Raw genomic sequence first — 24,789 nt, forward strand, 5'->3', positions numbered from 1 at the left:
CCTGTAGTCCCAGCTACTAGGGAGGCTACAGTGACAAGACTGCTTGAACCCAGGAAGTTGAGTCTGCAGTGAGCTGTGATTGTGCCACTGCACTCCAGCCTGGGCGACAGAGAGATCCCATCTCAAAAACAACAACAACATCATTTCCCATCACAGTAAGAAATAAAATCCCTAGGGCACAAAGGCTGAGGAAATTCTAGTCATGGTCAATGGTTCCAAAAGAGAATTCCACATTTCTGGAAAATAGTTTATTAATTCATTATAAGGACAGATACATGAATCAATGCCTTAGCTTAACACTAAAGAGTATCATATTTGTAAGGAGAAAAAAAAAACGCTGGAAGGATAATTAAATAGTACAGCATAAACTAAATACAGACAAATAAATGAGCAAGTACTGATTACACTTGTCATGCATCAAGAAAAGGAAGATTTTTAATTGAGACTCAGAAAACTTAAGGCATCAATGGTAGGTGACAAAGGGATTAATACCCTGTAAAAGGCCAATAGATTCTTTTCTAATAAAAATACTGCTACAAAGACACAAACCTAACACTTCCAAATTACCCAGAGCCCAAATCATATATAGTGCTAGTGAGAAATGGCCACTTTCTTATCAACTGTGAGTTATAGGCAGATACCAGATTTATTACTTATTTGCTTTTGAGAAACAATTTTCCACCCAACCTAATGGGTTATAAATTGTCTCATTTGCAGCTATTTAATTTAAACCAGAACCTCAGTGCCTGTTAAACAAGAACATGAAAAATGACTATGTGGTATAATGCTAAGAGCCTACTGTTAAAACAGCCATTTAATTCAGGGCAGTTTTTTTTTCTTCTTTAAAAAAAAAAAATCAAACCAGCAAAATAAAATGAGGCTTTTGACCTTCAGAGCAATGATGAAACATACACAGTGGTGTTAGCCACAGCAGCGCTGAATGCTACAGAAATACTACAAGTGACAATTCTGTCTTTAACGAGATACAAAACCAACATTAATAATCTTTAGTGTTATCATAGGCTGGCTGAAGGAGGGGGAGGAGGTGGAAACGTAGGTGCAGACATCAACAGTGAGTGACACCCGAGTATAATAAACACAGATGCTTTCAGGGTTTGAGGAAGCCGCAACTGTGCTGAGAGACATTCCACCATTTAAAAAAAAAAAAAAAAAAAAGGAAAAATGGACTGGTTATTTCGAATTTGGCCCAGAAGGCAGAGTTAACTCTTGATGTGCCAATCAGACATCATTAGGGAGTAAAGACCCTAACATTCTATGCTCCTATGAGAGGGCTGAGGTGAAAAACCAAATAAATGACATTGTTTTCACTACACAGAAAATAGAAGTCAAGCTTGTCCCTGTGCGGCAGGTGAACAGAAAATGACTTGAGGATTCAATTTAAAGAAAAAACAAACTGAAATGAGCTACCCCTTTTCCTGTGCAAAGACCTCCTTGCCAGCACCCCAGAGGGTGAGATTCCTGTCATCCCCAATCCAGATCAAGTCAAGCCTCACAGGGTGGGAAGGGCCTCCCTGAACTCTCACTCCCCTTCTCTTCCTTTAGCTTCTTCTGGAAGAGAGGCCCAAATCATCTCCATCCAGTAAACTTGCCCCCCTGCATAGAAGGGAGGGCATCTTTTTATTCTGAGCCTCTGGATCACAGCCCCCTTCCCTGTCTCAAACATTCCCCTCTATGACTTGGATCCATCCATGGAGAACCCTTGGATCCCAATCCCAAAGGCAAGATGCAGGGAAGCCAGAAGATCTTCTCCACACCCGCACTGGGCGTGGGTGGGCTGCCTGGGGCAGGGCAAGCAGAAGCACTGAGTGAAGAGGAGGCAGGAGGATGGCAGGCGAGTGCGCGGCAGCCGCGGATACAGGAAGGGCACGGGGGCCTTGAAGCAGACATGAGGTAGTCACGTTGTTAGAGAAGGATGCAGAGTTTGAACCCAGGCAGGAGAACAAGATGACATAGTCTGGGAGAGGTGTGAGAGATAGCAGAGGAAGGAAAACAGGAGAGAGGAAAGGAAAGAGTATCTGGGAGCAGGAGAAGGGCACTGGTGCTGGGAGAGCGAGGTGACTGGGAGACAGAACACTAGAGCAGCCAGGGGCAAGGAAGGAGGGGAAGAGTGAGAGAAAGCGGATTTTCAAAACCAGGCACTTCCCAGATTACAAAATTAAATGCAGAGTTGCTCGGAGGGGAGCCAGGGCCACCCTCTCTATTTGGGCAATAAGGAGCTGGGAGGTGATGCAGCTGAAATGCCAGGCATTCAGAGCCTGCTTGCACCCAACCCAGCCAGACAGGAGAATGGGCTGGGACTGTCTTTGTCAGACAGGCATTGGAGACACTCTCAGAGTGTGTAATAAAAGGCTGGGCGATGGAGGTGGGGGCCCACAGGGCTGGGGACTGACCACTGTGGGGCACCGTTCTGACCTGGAGGACCAATCAGGCTGTAGTGACCACTGCCTGGGCCACGGTTTCCCAGCTCAACAACCAGTACGCATACATGCACTTCACACATGTGCACATCACATGTAGCTATGTCTCGTATGTCTTTCACATGTCACATGTGTATCACAAAGAGTATGGGGGGAGTGAATAATCCATGTTTTCCTCTCCCCTCAGCCAAAGCAACTTAGGAAGCTCCAAAGGGCTTGATGATGTATCTACAGGCACACATGTGGACATACACGGCCACAGGTATCGCATCCTATGTGATCCATACCTGCCTGCCCCAAACCACATCCTCTGGGAAGAGCTAGGCAGAGGAGGAGACCGGGGATCTGGGCAGGCCTGGGCTGGCTCCTAGAGGGCAGGGGGATTTGAGCTGGCAGCTATCTCCAGGGGTCTCCTCTAGCACCTCGCCTGGCTGGAGGTCCGGGTAGGAGCAGGAAGCACTGGCTGCCTCTGGCAAGCAGGTAAGTCTGTCTGGCCCGGGGGCTGCCAGCTCACACCCTCCCAACTCCCTGTCCAGCCAGGCTGCCCCCTGCCCTGGATCCCCAACACCCGAGATGAGATCAGGAGCCTCTGGAGGCAGGGGGTCCTCAGGCTCCAGGTCTTGGAGATGGAGGTCAGGGTTCCCGTTAGATGCACTAAAGTCAGAGTGGACAATGACTTCAGCCTCCACCTGGTTCCTGCAGGCTGGGGGTGACTTCTTCCTCCCATTGCCCTGATCAGAGCAGAGAACACAAAGACAAAGTGACCATTACTGAGAGTAATCATCAGAATGACCAGCGTACGTGGGGCAGAAAGTCTGACCCTCCATCAGAGTAAGTATCACATGGGAGTCGGTGAAGGATACACAGGAACTGTTCGAACCTATACAAAGGCAGGGAATGATGGAATACTTCCCATTTGCCCTCATCCAGGAGTTTCAGGAGTACCAGACTCAGTCAGGGCCTCTGGGGACAGGAGGAAGGGCTGAGCGTACTCAGGCCAGCCACACCCTCAGATCCACGGAACTGCTGTGGCCCACTTAGGTCTGGGTAGAGGAGGGGCTGTTTTCAACCCAGGTTGAAACAGGTTCCTGCAAACTGGCCTGCCCTCCACCTACTCAACCTTTGGAGGCTCCAGGGGTCTCCTGGCTAGACTTCTATCCCCAGGAAAGTTACCACCCAGGGGTCTCCAGAGAACTCATTACTTCCTCTTCACAAGCACAGAGACCCTTTCCTCCTTTCCTGCCCCTTCCTTCCAGGACGCTGACCTTTATGGCGTCGTACACCAGAGCCTGCAGCAACAGCGTCTGCCCAGTTCCAGCAGGGGGCAGCAGGGCCCGGGTCAGAGCCGGCCGGGGGCCTGCCTGGGGCAGCTCACAGCCTGCCCAGGAACCAGCCCAGCTCAGCCCGCTTGGTTGAGCCCAGGAGATCTGCACGGGGGAAAGAAGGGGACAGTAAGGGGCACGACCAGGATTGGCTGGGAGAGGGAAGCCCGGGGGAGGGAATTGGGATGGGCCGCGGGGGAGCAGGGTCCAGACTGTCACCCGCTGCTCTCTCCCTCTCCAAGGCTCTGGGGAGGAGCATCGAAAGGGCTCAGAGTCAGCGGGGTAATCTGAGGATGAGTCCTCCTGCAGAGGAGCGGAACACCAGACGCTCTGCAAAGCCCGCGGTGTCCGAGCCAGGCGGGGAGAGGGTGAGGGAGGACGGGTCGGAGTTGGGTGGGATGTGCCGCCCCTGCCAGCATGAAAGGGACCAGCCCAGCGAAGGCCTCACCTTATCCTGGTCCCAGTCCCACTTGGCCACAGCCAAGCCGACTGGCCTCTTCTCCCCACACGGGGATGTCTGGGTCTCAGAGGTCTCCCCAGCTCCAGGGATGAGGAGGGAGCTGGGTGTTCTGGCTACCCTGGGTCACCTGCTGGGAGGCCCTTTCCTTCGTGAGAACCAAGCTGACCTATTCCGCCGGGATATGGAGGCCCATGTGCTTCCCTGACAGCCAACCATTCCGTGGAGGAGGGAGAGAGGCCCTAGCGTCCGCAGCCGGCTCCGAAGAGGAGGTAGAGCCATGCTCGCATAGCCACGCGTTGTGCTCTGTCGCCCCCTGGTGTCCTATTTAGAAAAGAGCCGCAATGTGGGGCTCTGACTTACCTTTCTTTTGGAGTGACTCCGGCCTTCAGAAACACCGCCACCCATAAGGCTGTGCACTTCAGCCCTGTCCTCCACGTCTGAGGGTGGCGGGGACCAGTCCTGGGGATGGGGGTGCACAAGGGACTCCAATTCATGGGCAGCTGGGGGGCTGGGGGGGCCAAGCCGAGCTCTGGAGTACAGCGCGGGATTCCCGGGGGTGGCGGTGGAGGACAGGCCTGGGAGGGATTCCCTGGAAGGGAAGACGGAAAACAAGGCATAGCGGTCAGAGTAAGGGGTCAGGCGGGGCTGGGATCTGGTCCAGCCTATGTCTCTGGGGAGGTTCCTGCCCATCTCTGGGATTTGCTTTCCTGGTCTGTGCAATGAGTAAGAAAAACTGCTATTGTTCAAAACAGCCTGATGCTGTAAACAGGGCTCTTCTTCCCTTGGCTGCAGGCATCTGGAGATTTGGGGCCCCTCTTTCCAAGATGCTGGCAGCTACAGAGGAAGTGGGAGTGAGGCAGTTCTGTTGGCCTTGCTGAGGAGGGTAGGCTGGGGCTCCCCTAAGTCCACTCCCCATTCTCAGGAGGACATCATCCCTGATTCCTTCATCCCAGAGTCCTGACTTTAACGGGGCTCCTGGGAGTGCCAAGGGCAAGTCATGGCCACTTTCCCTGATGGCCCATTCTGCAGCCCTTCCTGGAAGTCTCCCTTCCCTGAAGTCAGACTGGCTCCCCTGCTCACCTGTGGGGGCTGCGGCGCAGGCCAGCACACATGCAGGCCAGGAGGCAGAGGAGGCCCAGGCAGACACCCACGATGATGCCCGTGACTGAGTGCATGTCCAGCGAGTCTGGTGGGGGAGAGAGAGGCACAGAGCAGGTCAGGACAGAGGAAGGGCACAGGGCATAGATCAGGACTATCCATGGCTTTCTCAGGAGACACCAGCTGGACCCTCACCCTTCAGATGCTCACAATCTTCTGATACAAGGACAGGAGGGCCCTGAGCCTCACAGAAACTACTACTACCTCTCCCTCTGACTGTCCTCCCTAAAACACACCCAGAAGTTATGGTCTCTCTGCCTCAAACTGGCCTTTGGTGAAGCACGTGTTGCCTGCTCCCAGGGCTGTTGCATGGGTGTGCAACATGTGCAGGTGCGCAGACCCCATGCTTGGATGGACCCCACGCTTGAGTTCATGCTCTGCTGTCACCACCTTAAAATTCTAATTTTTTTTCTTTTGAGACAGGGTCTTGCTCTGTCACCCAGGCCGGAGTGCAGTGGCATGAACACGGCTCGCTGTAGCATCAACCTCCTGGGCTCAAGTGATCCTCCCACCTCAGCCTCCCAAGCAGCTGTGACCACAGGCATGAGCTACCACACCCAGATAATTTTTAAATTTTTTGTGGAGACAGGGTCTCACCATGTTGTCCAGGCTGGTCTCCAACTCCTGGCCTCAAGTGATCCTCTCACCTCAGCCTTCCAAAGTGCATAAGCACTTTGGATTACAAGCACAAGCCACCATGCCCGACCTCTAGCTTTTTTTGTTTTTGTTTTTGTTTTTGAGACGGAGTCTCGCTCTGTTGCCCAGGCTGGAGTGCAGTGGCATGATCTCGGCTCACTGCAAGCTCCTCCTCCCGGGTTCACGCCATTCTCCTGCCTCAGCCTCCTGAGTAGTTGGGACTACAGGCATCCACCACCACGCCCAGCTAATTTTTTTTTGTATTTTTAGTAGAGACAGAGTTTCACCGTGTTAGCCAGGATGGTCTCGATCTCCTGACATCATGATCCGCCCGCACCTTGGCCTCCCAAAGTGCTGGGATTACAGGCATAAGCCACCGCGCCTGGCCGTCCGACCTCTAATTTTTAAAATAAGGGATAGCACCTTTTCATTCTGCACTGGGCCCTGGAAATTACGTAGCCAGTCCTGCTGTCCACCTCCACACCATAAAGCTCATCACCTCACCAAGTTAATCCTCCAATCAAAGCAATTTCCCAAAGAAACTGGTCTCTAAAGCCAGTCCCAGCTGGATGCAGTGGCTCACACCTGTAATCCCAGCACTTTGGGAGGACGAGGTGGGTGGATCACCTGAGGTAAGGAGTTTGAGACCAGCCTGGCCAATGTGGTGAAAACCCGTCTTTACTAAAAAATACAATAATTGGCTGGGCATGGTGGCTCACGCCTGTAATCCCAGCACTTTAGGGGGCCAAGGTAGGCAGATCACGAGGTCAGGAGTTTGAGACCAGCCTGGCCAACATGGTGAAATCCTGTCTCTACTAAAAATACAAAAATTAGCCGGGCATGGTGGTGTGTGCCTGTAATCCCAGCTATTTGGGAGGCTGAGGCAGCAGAATCGCTTGAACCTGGGAGGCGGAGGTTGCAGTGAGCCGAGATTGCGCCATTGCACTCTAGCCTGGGCAACAAGAGTGAAACTCCATCTCAGAAAAAAAAAAAAAAAGCCAGTCCCCCACGAACCTGGCCTCTGAATCAAGTTATCACTGAACCACACCTATTTCCCCTTCACATTTGCTCTGCCCCCACCAAACCTGGAGGACAGCTGTGCAAAACAATGAAATTGTAGTTGTGTCCACAGGCAGGGGCTTGGAAGTCAATCCAGGGAAACCTGGGCTGCCCTGTGCTCATACCTGACAGCTTCTCCTGGAGCGTGATCACATCCTGCAGGCGGGAGAAAGGCCCAGGTCCCACCTCTGTGCGCGCCCCCATCTTGAAGAAGTACCGAGTGTCGCTCTCCAGGCCATGGACCTCAGCACTGAAGATGTTTCCTGGGGGTGAGGGAGGCAGGGAGAGCAGGGATGGTGGATGGGGTGGGTGGATGCAGAGGTGGGCAGGGAGGGGACTGGGAGAGTCTGCTCTCCACTTAGGCAGCAGCTTCTGCTTGCTTCTCCCAGTAGCCCCTGGAACAAACCCCAGCACTGTTCTCACTGCTGGAAGCGGGAGAGGCTGGGAAGCTCTTGAGCAGATGCCCTGGGGCAGGAGCCCTCACCCTGCGTGGTGAGCAAGGTCCACTGGTGCTCAGGCTGCGTGTGGTTGCTGCTGTACAGGATCAGATACTCCACGATCTCCCCGTTGGGCTCTGTGGGGGGGCACCAGTGCAGCCGAACCGTGGACGGTGTCAGGGGGCTCAGTCGCAGGTCGGATGGGGGTGTGGAGGGCCCTGGGGTGCGGGAGAGGAGATGGGGAGAGATGTCAGAGCTGGGGGACAGAGCATGATGATATGACCTCCCTTCTTCCTCCTTCATGGAACAAGCCACAAAGCAAAGATGAGGTCTGGTTTCTAGTTGGGGAATTCTAGAAAACAGTATGTGTGGTTGGAGGGACTTAACATTCCTCCCCTCCCAGAAACTCTTCTGCCCCCAGCTCTGCCCAAACCTTGGGGTTCTGAAGTATGTTTCTTGCTGCTGGGGCAAGAAGGAGTTGGGCAAAAGATGGGTTGGTGGCAAGGGGCTGGGAGCCACTCACGGTCAGGCAGGGTGGAGCGCTCCACCACAGAGCCGAAAGGCCCATCCATGTCCACGCCGTGAGACTGCACTGCAAACTCGTATTTGGTGAATGGCTTCAAGCCGCCAATGAGGATGTCTTCTCCAGAACTGCTAAGGCAAGAAACGTGACTAGTGCTCTCAGGCACACTCTCCCAGCAGGGCAGACTCCTCCAAATCTACTCCCCTGCAGTCAGCCCCAGCCCCAGGCTCTACCCTGGGAAGGGAAGCTGCTCCCTGGCCTGGAGGCGACTACCACCACCCAGGGACCTACAGAGAAGTCTGGATGTATGCTGCTCCAAGTCCAATCTCGAAACCAGACCCCTTCCTCCAGGAAACCTTCCTGGATTAATCCAAGTTATTCTCCACCTATGGAATCATCTCCGATGCATCTTTTCTTTGGCTTAATTTTGCCTTCATGGCAGTTGTATATATCGGTTGCTTTTTATGCGACTTTCCTCCGCCAAACCTCAGGCTCCTCAGGCTCTGTCTCCCCATCTAACAGGGTAGAGGGAGCAGCTCTGAGGACAGGGGTGGGGTTCTCTTCACCATCAGACTGGGAGCCCTCTGAGGTTGGAGAAACAGGTCTGTCCTGTGTCACATTCTCCGGAGTTTGAGAACAAGGCTCTGTTGTGAGGGGACGGGATTGGATGGCCTCCTTGCTACCATCTGGTCAGCAGGCAAGGACGTGGACCCTGTGCAGCCCCTCTGTGTGGCCTCAGCGTAACAGGTGAGCCATGACATGTTCCTGAATCCCAGGGGCCCTTCCCTGATCACCACCTGCTGCCTTCCCACCACCACCCCCCACCTATTCTTCCTCCCTTCTTTACATTAGTAAAGGCATTAGTCCCCACCTGGTGTAATAGGTGACCAGGGAGGCATTCCTGAGCCCCCAGGGGCTGAAGCGCACAGTGTAGTTGACAATCTTGACTGTGGTGAAATCTGGCTTTTTCCACCGAAGCCAGATGGATGTGGAGCTGTTTGATTCCGCATGGACGTGGGCTGGAGGCAGGGGTGGTCCCCTCTGGATAGGCATGTCTGAAAGGTGAAAACTAGAGTGTGAGGAAGGGAGGGAGGATACTCATCCTTAAATATGTATAGTGGTTTACAGTTCCCAAGGCTGTTTCTTTGACCCACTCCTTTGATCCTGTGAGTTGAGTGGCATCATTCCTACTTCACAGATAAGGCAATTGAGGCTTCCAAGAATTTGATTTTTGACTGTGGAACACTAGTCTGTAAGAACGTAATAAAGAGAGAGGCAGCAAATCACAGCAATGAATAACCATGGAACCAGACTCTGGAACCAGGCTGCCTTGGTTCAAATTCCAGCTCTGACACTTACTAGCTGTGTGACCTTGGAGAAATTACTTACCTTCTCTGTGTCTCCATTCACTATTCTAATGATAGTACCTACCTCATGGGGTTGTTATGAGGATTAAATTATTTAATATTTTAAAAATAGATAGGAAATTGAAATATAATAAACACTATATTTATAAGTGTTTATTTTAGAAACATAAAATAAACCCCAAGAGAGCAAGAACCTTATTTGTGTTGTCCACCACTAAATTCCCAAAGCAGCTGGCACTTAGTAGACACTCAGCGAAATATTTGCTGAATGAAGAAATGAACAAACTGGAATTAGAACTCAGCTGGGTGTGGTGGCTCACACCTGTAATCCCAGCACGTTGGGAGGCCAAGATGGGTGGATCACCTGAGGTCGGGAGTTCAAGGCCAGCCTGGCCAACATGGTGAAACCCCGTCTCTACTAAAAATACAAAAATTAGCCAGGTATGGTGCACACCTGTAATCCCAGCTGCTCAAGAGGCCGAGGCACAAGAATTGCTTGAACCCAGGAGGCAGAGGTTGCAGTGAGCTGAGATCATACCATTGCACTCCAGCCTGGGCAACAGAGTGAGACTCTGTCTCAAAAGAAAAAAAAAGAACCCAAGCTTCATGGCTTCTGGTTGATTACTCCCTCTGCTAAACCATGTGGCTGGGAAGTTAGGGGTGAGGGAGTATCATGATGGGCAACTGAGGTGTCCAATGCAGGGCCACAAGGCAGTGTAGTGCAGTGGAAAGAGTTTTGCCTGGAAACCAGGAGTCCCAGTTGTAGCCTAGGCTCTGTGTGACCTTGGACAAGTTCCTTTTCCTCTCTGAGCCTCAGTTTCCCGTTAGGTCACACAGGGATACTCACTCTTCTTAGACTTGAGAGATAGTCTGATAGTGTGATGTAGACAAATGTGTTTTTAAAAAAACTTGTTTTACAGTCAAACTTGGGGTCGGGAGTTACTGATCAACCATAGGGTTTCCCTCTGTTCAAACTTTGGAAATCAGCACTATTCATGGGTAATGCAAATAAGGTGGCAGGCCTAAGACAGTGAACAAACAAGCTTCTCTCCATGACAGAGGCTCTCTGGAGCTAAAAGAGGACCCCTGATCCTAGGAGAATGGGTTTGGGCATGAGCTGAGGCTACTAAAGTACCTGCTCACCAGGCTGGCCCAAAGGAAAAGAAGAGGAAGCGGCTAGCAGAGCCCTCACCTGAGCCCTCCCCGCCTTCTTCCCCCACCGCCCTCACCTGGTGCCGGCGCCTTCTCCGTCTTGCCCTTCCACACTGCTGCATAGCCATCCTCATGTTTGTTGAAAGCCACGAGCTTCACCTCGTACAGCCGGCCAGGGACTGGGGAAGGTTACAGGGCTTAATGGCTAGGGGGACATCTGGGGTCACTCTCCCGTCCACAGAGAGCATCCCATCTCTAACTTCTTCACACAACTTGCCCAGTCCCCACTGAAGCTACATCCCTCCCTCCCCCTCCCCCCAGCCCTCCTCACCTAGCTGGGTCAGCTCATACTGCTTCACTTTCTTCTTGAGCCGGACAGGCCCCACATCCCAAGCCTGGTCTCCACGGCCCCCTGGCAGGCGATCGCCATTGGCCTCCTCCTCAGCCCCCACCTCCCGCCAATATAGTTTGTAGCCAGAGATCTGGGTGGGGTGAGGGGGTGGCTGCCATGACACGACCAGGGACTCCATCTTTGCCTGCACCTTCAACTCTGCAGGGGCAAAAGGGACTGGGGGGCAGAGGAGCAGGATGGGAAAATTAAGGAACAGAATGCAGAATGAGGAGAAGGAGGCCAGGGATAGGAGACAGGGAAGAGGCATGAGGAAGAGACAGGAAGATGGCATTCAGTGAGAGCCTTTTGCCAGCATTCTCCCAACACATCACCACTCAGCCACCACTCTAAGTGCCAGTCCTGGGCTTGGTCTAGAGGTGAACTCACTGTTCTACAAGCACAGAGTGCAGGGAATGCAGGGGTGTCCGCTGGGCATTTGCAAAGGGGTCAGCAAGGAGCACCTCTGGAGTAGGCTGATAGCACCTGGCACAGAATCGGCCTCTGTGAAGTCTTCTGAAGGATCAAACACTGGGGGCAGTGGGGGTGGTGGTTGCTGAGGCCAGGAAGGAGGGATGCCACCATTACAGTAGGGAGACCCACTTGAGAGTGAGGAGCTTACAATGTGTCAAACACTGTCCTATGCACTTTGTGTAGTTATTATAACTTTATCCTTGCAACCCTCTAAAATAGTGAAAATACTACAACCTTCGCTTTACAGATAAGAAAACTGAAGCTCAGAGAGTTAAGTAATTTACCTAGTGTCGCATAGAGAGCATGTAGACCGGTTTGGTCAGCATTTAATCACTCTTCTATTGGGCCTCTCAACAAAAACAATCATCATCACCATCATCCTCGAAGCAGCTACAATTCAATGAGTTTTTATGTACTAAGCACTTTAGTTACAATACATTATTCAACCTCATGCCATTCCTGGGCAGTAAATGAAGCCTCAGAATGGTTTGTCCAAGGTCACACAGCAAATCGAAGGGACACCAGATCCCAGCCCTTCACCTCTGCACCTAAGCCTCACTCACCCATCAAGCGGAGGGAGCCATGGAAGGTCTCTGATGGAGGGCGGGGCCAGGGGGTGGGGCGCTGGGTCCCAAGGACACACGCACACCCACACAGTCACACACACACTGTCCTGTCTCTCCTCTAACCCCGTACCATGGCTCTGGTTGTGCATACTGGGCGTCCTGTGATGCATCCACTGGGAGGGGGCCCCGAAGCCGGCTGCTGTACCAGCCGAAATCCGTACTCGATACACCTTGTTTGGCTGAAGCGAGTTCAGCATAAGCTGTGTCTCATTTCCTCGCACCTCAGTAGAGAAAATCTGATCTGCAGGGACAGAAAAGGTGGGCTGCTGGGTAGCCACCTGAGGAACAGGATCCTAAACCCCCCTACATGGCTCTTCCGCCTCACATCCCGGTTCCTCCGTGCCCGTGGGAGCCTGAGGCGTTCTCAGCACTGACCCCTCAGTGCCTGGGCAGATTCTATGGCTCCAGGGTTGACGCTTGAGCCTCCAACTCTGGCTGATGCAGGCCATCAGCCTGGGCTCAGCTGCAGGGAGAATGATGGCAGGCTTTCCCCACTTCCCCAGGAGCTGTCAATGACCATCCCCTGCCAACACACACACACACGGGATGCAGACACAAGAGGCTGACCATGAAGGCCAGCAAGAACGCCTGGCTTCCAGAGCCCTGAGGGCCACCATGGCCACTTCCTCACCCTTCCCTCCTTCCTCACCTTTCCCTCCTTCCTCACCCTTCCCCTGGTCCCTCAGCTACCTTCCTCCTCCTAACTTTTTATCCTTTTATTTTTTTCTGAGACAGAGTTTTGCTCTGTTACCCAGATGGGAGTACAATGGCACGATCACAGTTCCCTGCAGCCTTGAATTCCTGGGGTCAAGTGATCCTCCCACCTCAGCCCCCCATTTCCCAGATAAGGAAACTGAGGCAGGGACTCAGTAGAAGTACACACTGCAGCTGTAGAGGGGTTGGGGTGAGAGCCCAGGCCTCCCTCTGCCTTAAGCTAGGCCCCTCTGTCTTCCCTTTTCATTCCTGCCCAGACCCCTGTTTTTCAGGTTCACCCTTCCCCAACCCCTACTCTGCTTCCTTTCCTCCGACTCCCGTACCCTGCTCAGGTCTCCAGCAGCCCTGACAGCTCTTCACGTTGATCATTCCCATACATGCCTGCAGCCCACCCACCCCCACTCACCTTCCTTTCCCAAACCGTATTCTATCTTGTACTTCACCACCTGCCCATTGCTCAGGCTGGGGGGCAGGGGCAGCCACGCCACCCTGATGTCCGAAGGGTTGGGGCTGGACAGGGAGAGCTGGGGTGCTGCACTGGGGACTGAGACAGAAGAACATCAGCATGAGCTCTGCTCCACCGACGTGGAAGGTGAGGCTCGGGAGCGGTCAGAGACTTGCCTGGGTCACACAGCAAGTCAGAAGTAGGCCAGGACCAGGATCTGAGGGAGGAAAGGGAGCTTCTCAGGGGAGCCCCAAGCTGAAGGATGAGGGGACATCTTTCCCACCCTGAAGCTGGAAAAAGTCTTGGAGCACAATCTTCCACGTCTAATGGGTTAATGTCACTGGCCCCTACCCCAGCTGGATGGCACATAGGTGTCAGGGAGAACTGCATGACACAGGGAATCATCACAGACCTGGGCTTAAGTCCCAGCTGAACTACTGACCTGGGCAAATCATTCTCATTTTCTGGGCCTCAGTTTCCCCAACTGTGAACTGAGGAGAAGAACCCCGCCCACTCTCTTACGGGGCACAAAAGATGATATGAGCAGGTAAAAATGCCTTTACATTAGTAAAGAGAGGGTGAGCTCCCCTCCCCAGGGAATTCTCTTTACCCCAAGCTGCCCACTGCGAGTTCAGAGGCCCTACCATCATCCAGTGTGTGCACCAGTGCTGGGGTGGAGGTGCGGCTGGCTCCCAGCTGGGAGTAGGCCACCACGTAGAACTCATAATCTGTGTTGGGTTCCAGGTCCCGAACCTGTAGTTCTGTGGTGTCGTTGTTCACTGCAAACTGGTATTCCACATTGTCCATGCCTGGTGACACGGGGGACAAGGGGACTGTCATAGTGCCACCCCCCCGTGCTGGCTAGCTGGAGTCTGTATAGGAATCCTTCATATTGTCCTGGTGTCTATTTATAGCTAAATCATCCCAGATAATCTGAGCTGGAGTGTATAAACTCCCTCAGCTTCCTGTCTCAGTGTATTAATTCCTCCACTGGTTAGGGAGTGCTTTCTGGAAATGACCCCCCTCTCCAGTTAGTTAACTGGGATGGGAGGTGGCTCCAGGAACGTCCTCTCCCTCCTCTCTCAACAAACATGACTGAGGGAAGCAGTGGCCCTTCCAGCGCCAGTTGCCTAATCCATACCTACCATACTTATGCGGGTCTCTCCTATGGGCTCCTACCCCAGTCCATCCTTGCCGCAGAGGTACCCATCAGGCAACCCTTCAGTCATCCGACCTGAACCCCTTCTGGCTGCGCCCCGCCCGGGCCTGCGCTGGTGCATCCCGCCCCAGGCCGACGTACCCCGTGCCTTCTGGTAGTGGAGAGAGAAGCCGATGATCTGCTCGCTGTGCATCTCGGGCCGCTCCCAGGCCACCAACACAGCGGAGCTGCTCAGTGGCGTAGCAGTGACCCGCGTGGGGGCGCTGGGCAGCCCCTCGCGCACCACCACGGCCAGCGACGCGGCAGCGCACGCCATTCCCGCGCTGTTCTCAGCCACGCACTGGTAGTAGCCGGCGTCCTGCAGGCCGATCTGTGTGATGACCAGGCTGCCACCGCCGCCCTGGACCTTGACGCGCCCGTTGGGCCGCAGCGGCGCCCCGTTGTGCAGCCAGCGCAGCGCTGGCCGCGGCTCCCCCGACGCGCGGCACACGAAGCGCGCTGTGCTCGCCCGCGTCCGCGACAGCGCCTCGGGCGCCTGAGTGATGGCGGGAGCCGCTAGGGGCGCGAGGGGCGACGCTGAGCGCGGGATCCCGCAACTAAGGTCTCTGCCCCCCCCCCAGTACCCCAAGCCTGCCCCCCACCGCCCTCCCTCGCTCCCCTTCCAATCACTTTAACCTCTCCCTGATTCACCCTTTCCAAACTACTCCGGCTCAGCGCAGACCTACCCTTTCTTCTCCCCATTTACCCCAGCCCCACAACGACCATTCTCTTTCTCTCCCAAAACTGTCCCCAGGCCTCCTCAGCCTCCCCTAAATATTGCTCCTCCCGGATCTAACCCCACCCCTAAATTTACCCATCTCCTTCCTCCCTGCCCTCCCATATGTCCCACACCTACCAGATCTACCCTGCCCCCCAGTTTTCTTAGTACCACTCAGATCACTCCACTATCCCCACAATAACCCCAGTCACAACTCCCCGCTAATCACCCGCTCCAGGCCTTAATCACCCCTCTCGCTCCATCCCAGACTCAACGCCCCGCACTCCGTCCTCCAGTTACCAAGTCCCCATCCCTCGTCCCACCTCCGCCTTACTAGGGACTCCTCCCTGAGTTCGTCCTCCAGGAGAGCGCCTGAGTGCCCCCAGCACACCCACCCGTCCACCTCCCCCTGCTCTATTCACCCCAGCCCCAGCTAACCCGCTCCCTCCGCCCTTCGGCCCGCCTCACCCAGCACACGGAGCTCAGCGGCTGCAGTGGCGAAGTCGCGCGTGCGGGGCTTGTTGGCGCGGCAGACATAGACGCCGGAGTGCCAGGGCTGCGCGTTGGCAATTAGTAGGTTGGTGCGGCCCAGGACGATGACATCTGTGGAGATGGGCTTCCCGTCTGGGGAAGGAGAGGGAGACGCGCTGGAGGGGACGCTAGGGACTGCCCTTCCCTTCAGTCTCCGAACCTCAGGAACACTCTGCACCCGGATAAAGCAAACACAACCGTCCCTGGTCCGAATCTCATTTCCTCCTCTTGCTGGGACTCTCTGAGCCCGGCTGTCTCCATCTGTAAGGGGGAATTAGCCCTTAACTGGCAGGGTTTCCATGAGGATTGAAAGAATGTCAGAACCCCTGGCACAGTGCAGGCATATATTAATCATAGGTGCTCAGCACACTCGTCAGTTTTCATTACTGAATTCATTTCTCTCAAGAAGGACATGCTCCTTCCCTGGGGTCCCAGCCCAGTACTATGATGAAGCTAGGGCTGGTAAGGTCGGACCAAGCCAACGATTCGAATGCGCACAAAGTTTTACCTCAATGTGAAATGAAAACCATTTAAAAAGCCCTTGCCTTGTAGACATGAACAGAAAATCTAGAGAAGCAATGCAAATAGCCAAGAAACACAAAAATGTTCAACTTCATGTCATCAAAGAAAGGCACTTCAAAACAGATGTTAGGCTGGGCACGGTGGCTCATGCCTGTGCTCTTGGCACTTTGGGAGGCTGAGGTGGAAGGATCACTTGAGACCAGGAGTTCAAGACCAGCCTGGGCAACATAGTGAGACTCCGTCTCTATAAAAAAAAAAAAAAAAAGATATTAAAACACAGATGTTAATTTTCACCCATCAACTTGAGAACATTTTTAAAAATAGTAAATTGCAATGCTGGAGAAAGGGCCATAAAGGAGCTTCACCTAGGCCTTGAAGCCAAGGATTCCATTTATGTGTACCTGTCCTAGGAAGATGATCAGAAGTACAGGCAAGTATTTGTGAACAGAGCAGATCACTGCAGTGTTAACTGTAACAGCGGATAACTGGAAAGGACTTAAAAATCCAACAGCAGGAACTGGTGAATTACATTATAGCTATATTTAAAGTATGGAATATTAGTCATTACAATTTTTTGAAAAAGTTTTAAAGATAGAGAAATGCTTATGGTATACTGTTGAATGAAAATAGGACTTGGAACTATAAATGCGGCACATGTTCTCAATTTCAGGGAGAAAACTGTACATAGGCATAGAAAAACCTGAAAGAAGATATACTGGTACATAAACAATTTTTATCTCTGAGTAGTGGAGTGTTTGAGTGTTTTCTGCATCTATTTTTTTCCTAGTTTTCTACGGTGAACATGTACAACATTTGCAGTCAGAAAACAAAACAGCCGGACACAGTGGCTCACACCTGTAATCCCAGCACTTTGGGAGGCCAAGGCGGGTGGATCACTTGAGGTCAGGAGTTCGAAACCAGACTGGCTAACATGGCAAAACCCCATCTCTACTAAAAACACAAAAATTAGCCGAGTGTGGTGGTGCATGCCTGTAATCCCAGCTACTCGGGAAGCTGAGACAGGAGAATCACTTGAACCCAGGAGGCGAAGGTTGCAGTAAGCCAAGATCACACCACTGCACTCCAGCCTGGGAAACAGAGCAAAACTCCATCTCAAAAAAAAAAAAAAAAAAAAAAAGAAAGAAAAGAAAAGAGAGAGAGAGAAAGAAAACAAAACAGGCCGGGAGCGGTGGCTCCTGTCTGTAATCCCAGCACTTTGGGAGGCCAAGGTGGGCGGATCACGAGGTTGGATCACGAGGTCAGGAGATGGAGACCATCCTGGCTGACACGGTGAAACCCAGTCTCTACTAAAAATACAAACCATTAGCCAGGCGTGGTGGCGGGTGCCTGTAGTCCCAGCTACTTGGGAAGCTGAGGCAGGAGAATCGCTTGAACCGGGAGGCGGAAGTTGCAGTGAGCAGAGATCGCGCCACTGCACTCCAGCCCGGGCGACAGAGCGAGACTCTGTCTCAAAAAAACAAAACAAAACAAAATCAAAAACAAACAACCCATGCCCCTTCCCTGACTTAGTGGAGTAAGTTCCTGGAAAGAAAGCAGTACTTGGGGTCAGGAATGAAGCTCCTTTCCAGCCCTTCTCTTCCTAGGTGTCAGGATCCTCCGGGACAGCAATTCTCAAATCCGTACTGTGCACACGAATCACAGATTAGCAGGGGACCTTGTTAAGATGTAGAGGACTGAGGCAGGGCCCCAGATTCTGCATTTCTAACTAGTCATAGGTAGTAGAGCTGAAGAGCACACTTTCAGTTGGAGCACCGGGCGCAGTGACTCATGGCTGTAATCCCAGCACCTTGGGAGGCCAAAATGGGTGGGTTGTTTAAGCCCAGGAGTTTGAGACCTGCCTGCGCAACATCTAGAAACCCTGTCTCTACAAAAAAATACAGGCATAGCGGCACATGCCTGTAGTCCCAGCTACTCAGAAGGCTGAGGTAGGAGATCACCTGAGCCGGCAAAAGTTGGAGGCTGCAGTAAGCTGTGATTACACCATTGCACTCCAGCCTGGGTGACAGGCAAAAAAAAAAAAAAAAAAAAAAAAGATTCCTGGAACACGACTCTCCGGGGTGAAGAAAGGAGTCTGCAGTTTTAATAAGTCCCCTGGGTAACCCTGATGCATAATCAGGAATTAAGAAATATTGACATTAGAACTTCTAGGTGATACCACAAGTTTATCCCAGTAGTACAAGGGTCCTGCTGGCCCCCTAAGTAGGCAAGTGTCACAGGTCCAATGAGGCAGTGCAGGTCAGATAGGTGCGAAAATGCCAGCACTGTTCTATTTTATCAGCTCATTGGTGGGTACATATTAATAGTTGTTCAATTTATTTTCTTTAAACTATATATATTCGTGATATACACTTTTGAGTATGAGATATAAACTTATATTTTTAAAGATGTATAGAGTAATAGAATGAGTTGGGGAAAGGGGTAAAAAGAACTGGATTTAAAACTTACTTCTGCCATCAACTTGGGACAAGTCACTTTTTAACAACAAATGGAAATAAAAATAACCCTTGCTTTCTTTTTACAGGACTGTAGGAACTGGCATACCAAAAAGAGAACAGACTTGAAAGCTTGGGTCCCAGCTCTTCCACTGCCTCTCTGAGCCTCAGTTTCTTCATCTGCCCACTGGGAATAATAGTTCTGGCCCCTCCTCTCCCCAGAGGGCTCTTGGAGGCTGACAGGAGAACAGGTGTGAAAGTGCTTAGGAGACTGCACAGTGAAATTTGGCCCAGCACTGGCGTTACCCTGATGGCATCTCCAGTCACTCAGTGGCACTTCTCACTTGTAGCCTGATACTGTCAGACCTCTCTTCATAGATGTGTGTTTTCTCTCCCTCACTAGACGATGAGTTCAGAGGGCAGGGTCCCTGCCTCTCTGTGTTTTGTTCACTGTGCCCAGTATGATACCAGTCACACAAAGACAGCAGTATGCTGGGGTGGACCCAGAGCTTGCCTTATAGTTGCACGGACCAACAGAGGGGTCTGGTTCCACCTAACTCACTGGCTGTGTGGCACCTTCCCAGCTCTCAAGTACTCACTTGTAACACCGTTGTGAGGAACAGAAATATGTAATTATGGTGGAGAACCTAGCTCAGCACCTGGCCTCAGGAGGGCTGCAATAACCGTTCTGTAAGTGGCAGCTTGGAAGTGCTTTTGTAAAGCACATGCTACACAGAGTGACAAGGAAGTCTGTCCAGTTCCCCACGCAGCTCCGACCTTGACCACCACACCCAGCCCTGGGAAAGGAGTTCGTGCCACACCAGAAGGTTCGTGACCACTGGGTCGTCACCCATACATCCCCCTGACTTAGGGGCATGTGAGATGCCACATCCCTCCCTTCCCATGCCCTCCTTCTCCCACCCCCTCCACTCACCTTGTCGGACCCAGGACACAAAAGGGGTGGGGTCAGCTGAGGCCACACATTCCATCACCACACTCTGGCCAGACACCACTGTGGTGTTCTCTGGGGCTGCCACAATGACCACGTCCTGCCCCCTGGTGGACGCCAGGGACCCTGGCGAGAAGACAGACCAGCAGGCAGCCTTACCATTAGGCATTTGCCATGCGATACCTCACCTGAGTCTCACAGTAACCTGGTGAGGTGGTACCGGGGACAGCAGCAATGATTCCATCTGTCAGATGGGGGACGTAGCCATAAAATTCAGCAGGGCTGGGACTGGACCTCTGAGCTGTTTCTTTTAGAGCCAGAAGAATTGCCTAGGCTTCAACTCAGCACCAGAGAAATGATTAGACAGACCCACACCTACCTCCATTCTTCCCTCCCAAATGCAACCCACCATCTAGGCAGAGGACTGTCAGGGTCATGGGCAAAGCACCAGACTTGGAGTCAACAGTTATAGTTTCTAGTTCCAGCACTGCCATTAACGCACTGGGTGACCTTTGGCAAATCCCTTCTCCAAAAGGCCTTGGATTTCCCAGTGGAAAAGGCAGACAGTGGGCTTGAGTTTCTGCCTGTGCGGCAGTTCCCTAAACCCTGATTTCCTGCCAAGTTCTTTGTGTGACCCTGGCCCCCTGGGTGGAGTGGTGAATATCTGGATTGTCCAGCAGGTGGAGGCAGATACCCCTTGAACAGAAGAAAGACGACACCAGACTGGGAGCAGCCTACCAGCTAAGCCCAGAAGGAACAGGATGGGGACGGGGTGGGAGTGCAGAGAGTGGGTGGGAGGTGGGAGGGATGCATGGCAAAGGGAAGCAAGGGAGGTGCCCCTGGGGGAGGCTTGAAGTGAGATCTGTTGAGCACCTGCCAGGTGCCAGGCACTTTCCATTCTTATCTCAAGGACTCTTCGAGCCTCTCTGAGCTGGGCATTTGATAAGGAGCCCAGGGTCATGCAGATGGTGAGCAGAGAAGGCAGGATTCAAACCAGGTCTTTCCAACCCCAAAGACTGTGCCCTTCCTAATCCATCACACTGGGGCAAGAGCTTTTCAAAGAAACGAGTAAAGGATAAGAGCACTAGGCCACAGGTAGCCAGATTTGCAAGGCACAGAAAGCAGAGAGGGACGAACCCCCAGTGCCTGGACCCCTCAGTGACTATAGAAGGGCAGGAGAGAAAGGGGCAGGGAGCAGGGCTTCCGGGCACTGACACCGCCTCAGATGCCTCGCATCCCCACCTCTGTCCCCAGCCTTCGACACTGCATCCAACCAGAGGGCACACAGGCTCTGCATGAAGAGAGGAGCCCTGCCCTTGGAGTCTGGGGTCTTGTGTTCCAGCCCAGTTCTTTCTTCTCTGGTTTGCTGGGTGGCAGTACCCTCTCTGGGCTTCATCGCCTCACCAGTCAATGGGACTAACATTTATCACCTACTTGAAGGCAAGGCCTGGACCCCTTGAGGTCCCTCCCAGCTCTGAGGTGGCTGGTTCCAGAAACCCCCAGGTTTCCCCACCCAGCCAGCCCCCTTACCTCTGTGGGCCACACTGAGTAGGGCCTCCTGGCTGAAGTGCTGGCGAGCTGAGTTGGTGGCCACGCAGCGGTAGGGGCCTGCATCACTCTCCTGAACATCCAGGATCTGAAGGACGCCGTTGGGAAGCACGATGAGCCTTGGGAAGAGGGGAGCAGGCAACTGTGAGGTGGGCAGGGGGGCCACAGGGAGGGTGGCTCATGGTAAGATAAATGCAAATTAAAACTCTAAGATACCAGGCTGGGCGCAGTGGCTCACGCCTATAATCCCAGCACTTTGGGAGGCGAGGCGGGCGAATCACATGAGGTCGGGAGTTCGAGACCAGCCTGACCAACATGGAGAAACCCCGTCTCTACTAAAAATACAAAATTAGCCGGGCGTAGTGGTGCATGCCTGTAATCCCAGCTACTCCGGAGGCTGAGGCAGGAGAATCGCTTGAACCCGGGAGGCGGAGGTTGCGGTGAGCCAAGATTGCACCATTGCACTCCAGCCTGGGCGACAACAGCAAAACTCCATCTCAAACAAACAAACAAAAACTCTAAGACACCATTTTCACCTATTAGATTGGTGAAAATCAGAAGGCTTAATAACACTCCGTGTGGATGAGGGAATGGAGGAAGGCACTCCTGCCTCGATGGTGGCCCTGCCCATACACCATCTGTCCAGGGCAAGTTGGTGATATCTCAACATCAAAACTTCTAGGGCTCTATCCCACAGATACTCTCAGATGTGTGCACAAGAGCATGTGTTAAACGATATTCACTCCAGCACTGTCTGTGATAGCAAAAGGCTGGAAACAACCCAAGTGTTCATCTGCAGGGTGGGAACTGGCTAAATTTGTTTGGGTACATTCGCACAATGGAATGTTAGGCAGCTGCTAAAAAGGAGGCAGCTCTGTGTGTGCTGATAGAGGGCCATCTCCAAATGTGTTCTGGTACAAAACAATATGTTTGGGGACATGTAGGCTTCTGTGCTTGCGTATACATTCAATGTTCCTGGTAACAGTGGTTGTCTCTGGGGAGGGGACCTGGGATCCAGGGGACTGAGGGTGGGAGGGACTGACTTTTTATTATATATCCTTGTATACAGTTGGAATTTTATTTACCCCTTGCCCATACTACCTTCTCCCTCCCTTAATAAAATACTCTTTATTCACACTATCTCATGTGACCCTTAAAACAAGCCCAAGACATAGAGGAGGTCACAACCTCCATTTTACTGGTGAAAAATAGGAGGGTATTTTCCCAGGATCTCACAGGTGGAGCAGAGTGAAAACTCGAACCCAAGTCTTCTGGTGCCAAATGTCATATTTGTCCTACCTGCCTGTCTCGGCAGCCATTGGATGGCTGAGAATGCCCTTGGAGAGGACGTGGTCTCCAAGCAGACCCAGCCAACACGTATGTTACTTAGAAGGGGCATGATGGATGAGGGTGTTCCCTGCCCTCTGGGCTAAAGAAATAGAAAGGTCCAGAGACCTTACTTGAGAAACGATGTAATCTGGGATAGGGAGGTCTCCATGGGGGTTGGGGTGGTGGAGACCAGAGTGGGCTCCGACCTAAGGAGGGGGTGAATGGGTCCCTCGGAATCCTCCAACTGGGATCCCTACAGGGTCAGCTCCAGGTTGAGAATCCTAGTTTCTCAACAGAGCAAATGGTGCTGGCCTCTGGGATGTAGGCTGGGCCAAGGTCAGAGAGGGAAGGGGGCAGTTGTGCGCTTGGTGGAGATCCCTTAGCTCCTGGGGAAGTGGGGTCTAAAAAAATCTAAACATGGAACAGGAGAAGTAGTTCAAAGGCTGGGGAGGAAGAATGTTCTAAACAGGGGCCCTACAAACCTGCTGTGGCCCAAAGACTTAAAGGACTTAGAGAAAAAAAGCATAAATATGCCCTGCTCTTTCCTGCATCACACAGGCAAACCCACCTCTGCCCCCAGCCTCTCACCCTCAGCTCCAACAGCTGCCTACATAAGTGCTGGGGCAGAGCGAGAGAAAGGGACAGGGAGACAAGTGTGGCTGGAGCAAAATCCTGGGCCAGGACCCAGTCTGCTGCCAGAGAAGAACTGACAGGAAAGGACGAATTGGGGAAGGACAAGTAGGACCCACCTAGAAAACAGGCCCCACCCCCATCCATCTAACGTGCTCTTCCTCCAAGACCTTTCTTTCTCCTCTTTTCCTCCCTCGAACTAGCGAGCTGACTATGCTGCTGGGAACTGCCTACATTTCCTAACCCCAGTGTTTCTAGGTCTTTCCAGGGAATATTGTGCTCCAAGTACTCAAGAGGTAGTCTCTCCTTTGAAAAAATAACATTCCCTTAATGATGTGATTGAGTGAATGAATGAATGAATGAACAAATTAATGAATGAATGAATTCCTTTCCCCAGATATGGTGCTATTGCTGCAGCCAATAGAGGCAAGATGGAACCACTTTTAGGGTTCATCTAAAATCTTTTCTGGCCGGGCTTTTTGGGAGGCAGAGGCAGGAGGATTGCTTGAGGCCAGGAGTTGGAGACCAGCCTGGGCAACATGGCAAAACCCAGTCTCTACAAAAAATACAAAAATTAGCCAAGGCATGGTGGTGCACATCTGTAGTTCCAGCTATTCAGGAGGCTGAAGTGGGGAGATTGCTTGAGACCGGGAGGTAGAGGCTGCAGTGAGCAGTGATTGTGCCACCGCACTCCAACCTGGGTGGCAGAGTGAGTCCCTGACTCAAAAAAATCTTTTGCTTTGCTAAAATGTGTTTTTAGAAGCTCTGTCCTTGGAAAAGTGTTCAAAATATATTAGTTAGTGGGGGGGGGGGAGTAAAAAAACAGTGTTTATGAAGAAATTCTACTTTTAGAAAATAGAGAAAAGTTATATTAGGATATACATAGAAAAAGCCACAGGTGGCAAAGCTCGTGTGGTTTATGGGGGTTTTCTGTAGGAGTGAGATTACGGGGGATTCTTATTTATTGTGCCTGTTAAGTGGGTTTTTTTTTTTTGCAATTAATATGTATCAGTTAGGAAATATAAAAATTTTTAAATGTAAATTGCTAATAATCTGTGCCCTTGTACACTTTGGTTTGTAACTTGGGCTCTAACACAGAAGCACTGTGACATGCTGGAGAGAACTGGTTTCAATGTATGTGATTTTAGCAAGTGACATTCTGTATCTGGGCCACAGTTTTCTCATTTGAAAAATGGGTTAAATAATTCCTGTCCTGCCTTCTTCACAACCCTGACCCTCTTATTGTGTTTTGAGCTCACATTAGATAACGGACATAAACATATTTATGAATTGCAAGCTCTGAACACATGTTTACAATGGTGTAACCCATATACGTATTTCAAAAGACTGCAAGGAGACGCTCAAATTGGTAAAAGCTGTGTTCAGTCAGTAGGTGACTTTTTTCCCCTTTCTGTAAAGTTGGTATACTCTACCATTTTAAGAGAAATTCAAATTTCAAATAAAATAAAAGCTACTTATAAAATGAAAAACAATCTCAACTCGAAAGGAAGGGATGATTCTTTTTCCAGCCTCAAACCTGAGTCTGCTGCTCCTACCCACAAAAGGCCACTTGGGCCCCGAGGATTAAAGAACACAGAAGAAATGACGCAGCTGCTCTGAATTTCCCAAGGGCCAAGGAGCCCCCACCCTAAGCCCTTGAGATCCACCCAGGGCAAGGGGATACTGGCTGGAAGTCACATGAGATTGACAGA

The 24,789-nt window shown here is 52.0% G+C and overlaps 1 protein-coding gene across 7 annotated transcripts in view, besides 4 other annotated features; it reads right to left on the bottom strand.

The window, feature by feature from the left end:
* Positions 1-233: 233 nt before the first annotated feature.
* Positions 234-24,789, bottom strand: part of IGDCC4 (immunoglobulin superfamily DCC subclass member 4) — a 41,464-nt gene continuing 16,908 nt past the window's right edge. For 2 of the 7 annotated variants that reach the window (NM_020962.3, XM_011521845.4), the window contains exons 4-20: positions 21,101-21,237; positions 19,556-19,696; positions 15,584-15,739; positions 14,500-14,913; positions 13,844-14,008; positions 13,161-13,298; positions 12,111-12,281; positions 10,884-11,120; positions 10,630-10,731; positions 8,905-9,088; positions 8,034-8,161; positions 7,558-7,728; positions 7,199-7,336; positions 5,301-5,406; positions 4,581-4,809; positions 3,704-3,865; positions 234-3,169 (exon numbers count right to left, since the gene is read on the bottom strand). In NM_020962.3, coding sequence (NP_066013.1) covers positions 2,759-3,169; positions 3,704-3,865; positions 4,581-4,809; positions 5,301-5,406; positions 7,199-7,336; positions 7,558-7,728; positions 8,034-8,161; positions 8,905-9,088; positions 10,630-10,731; positions 10,884-11,120; positions 12,111-12,281; positions 13,161-13,298; positions 13,844-14,008; positions 14,500-14,913; positions 15,584-15,739; positions 19,556-19,696; positions 21,101-21,237 — 3,190 coding nt within the window. In that variant the 3' untranslated portion in view covers positions 234-2,758. Of the gene's footprint in view, positions 3,170-3,703; positions 3,866-4,580; positions 4,810-5,300; positions 5,407-7,198; positions 7,337-7,557; positions 7,729-8,033; positions 8,165-8,904; positions 9,089-10,629; positions 10,732-10,883; positions 11,121-11,698; positions 11,805-12,110; positions 12,282-13,160; positions 13,299-13,843; positions 14,009-14,499; positions 14,914-15,583; positions 15,908-19,555; positions 19,697-21,100; positions 21,238-24,789 lie in introns of those variants that run through there. The other 5 variants (XM_011521846.4, XM_017022448.3, XM_047432908.1 and 2 more) reach the window with 3 other exon arrangements.
* Positions 3,518-4,129: an enhancer, noted in NCBI's record as "H3K4me1 hESC enhancer chr15:65677106-65677717 (GRCh37/hg19 assembly coordinates)". NCBI's record gives its function as "activates a minimal SCP1, AML or CMV promoter by ChIP-STARR-seq in naive and primed H9 embryonic stem cells {active_cell/tissue: H9 hESC(naive and primed)}" and the evidence as "EXISTENCE:reporter gene assay evidence [ECO:0000049][PMID:30033119]".
* Positions 4,004-4,053: an enhancer, noted in NCBI's record as "active region_9596". NCBI's record gives its function as "activates an Ori minimal core promoter by ATAC-STARR-seq in GM12878 lymphoblastoid cells {active_cell/tissue: GM12878}" and the evidence as "EXISTENCE:reporter gene assay evidence [ECO:0000049][PMID:35858748]".
* Positions 4,064-4,113: an enhancer, noted in NCBI's record as "active region_9597". NCBI's record gives its function as "activates an Ori minimal core promoter by ATAC-STARR-seq in GM12878 lymphoblastoid cells {active_cell/tissue: GM12878}" and the evidence as "EXISTENCE:reporter gene assay evidence [ECO:0000049][PMID:35858748]".
* Positions 4,134-4,253: an enhancer, noted in NCBI's record as "active region_9598". NCBI's record gives its function as "activates an Ori minimal core promoter by ATAC-STARR-seq in GM12878 lymphoblastoid cells {active_cell/tissue: GM12878}" and the evidence as "EXISTENCE:reporter gene assay evidence [ECO:0000049][PMID:35858748]".

Source organism: Homo sapiens, chromosome 15, assembly GCF_000001405.40.
Source record: "Homo sapiens chromosome 15, GRCh38.p14 Primary Assembly".
In the NCBI taxonomy this organism is placed as follows: domain Eukaryota; kingdom Metazoa; phylum Chordata; class Mammalia; order Primates; family Hominidae; genus Homo; species Homo sapiens.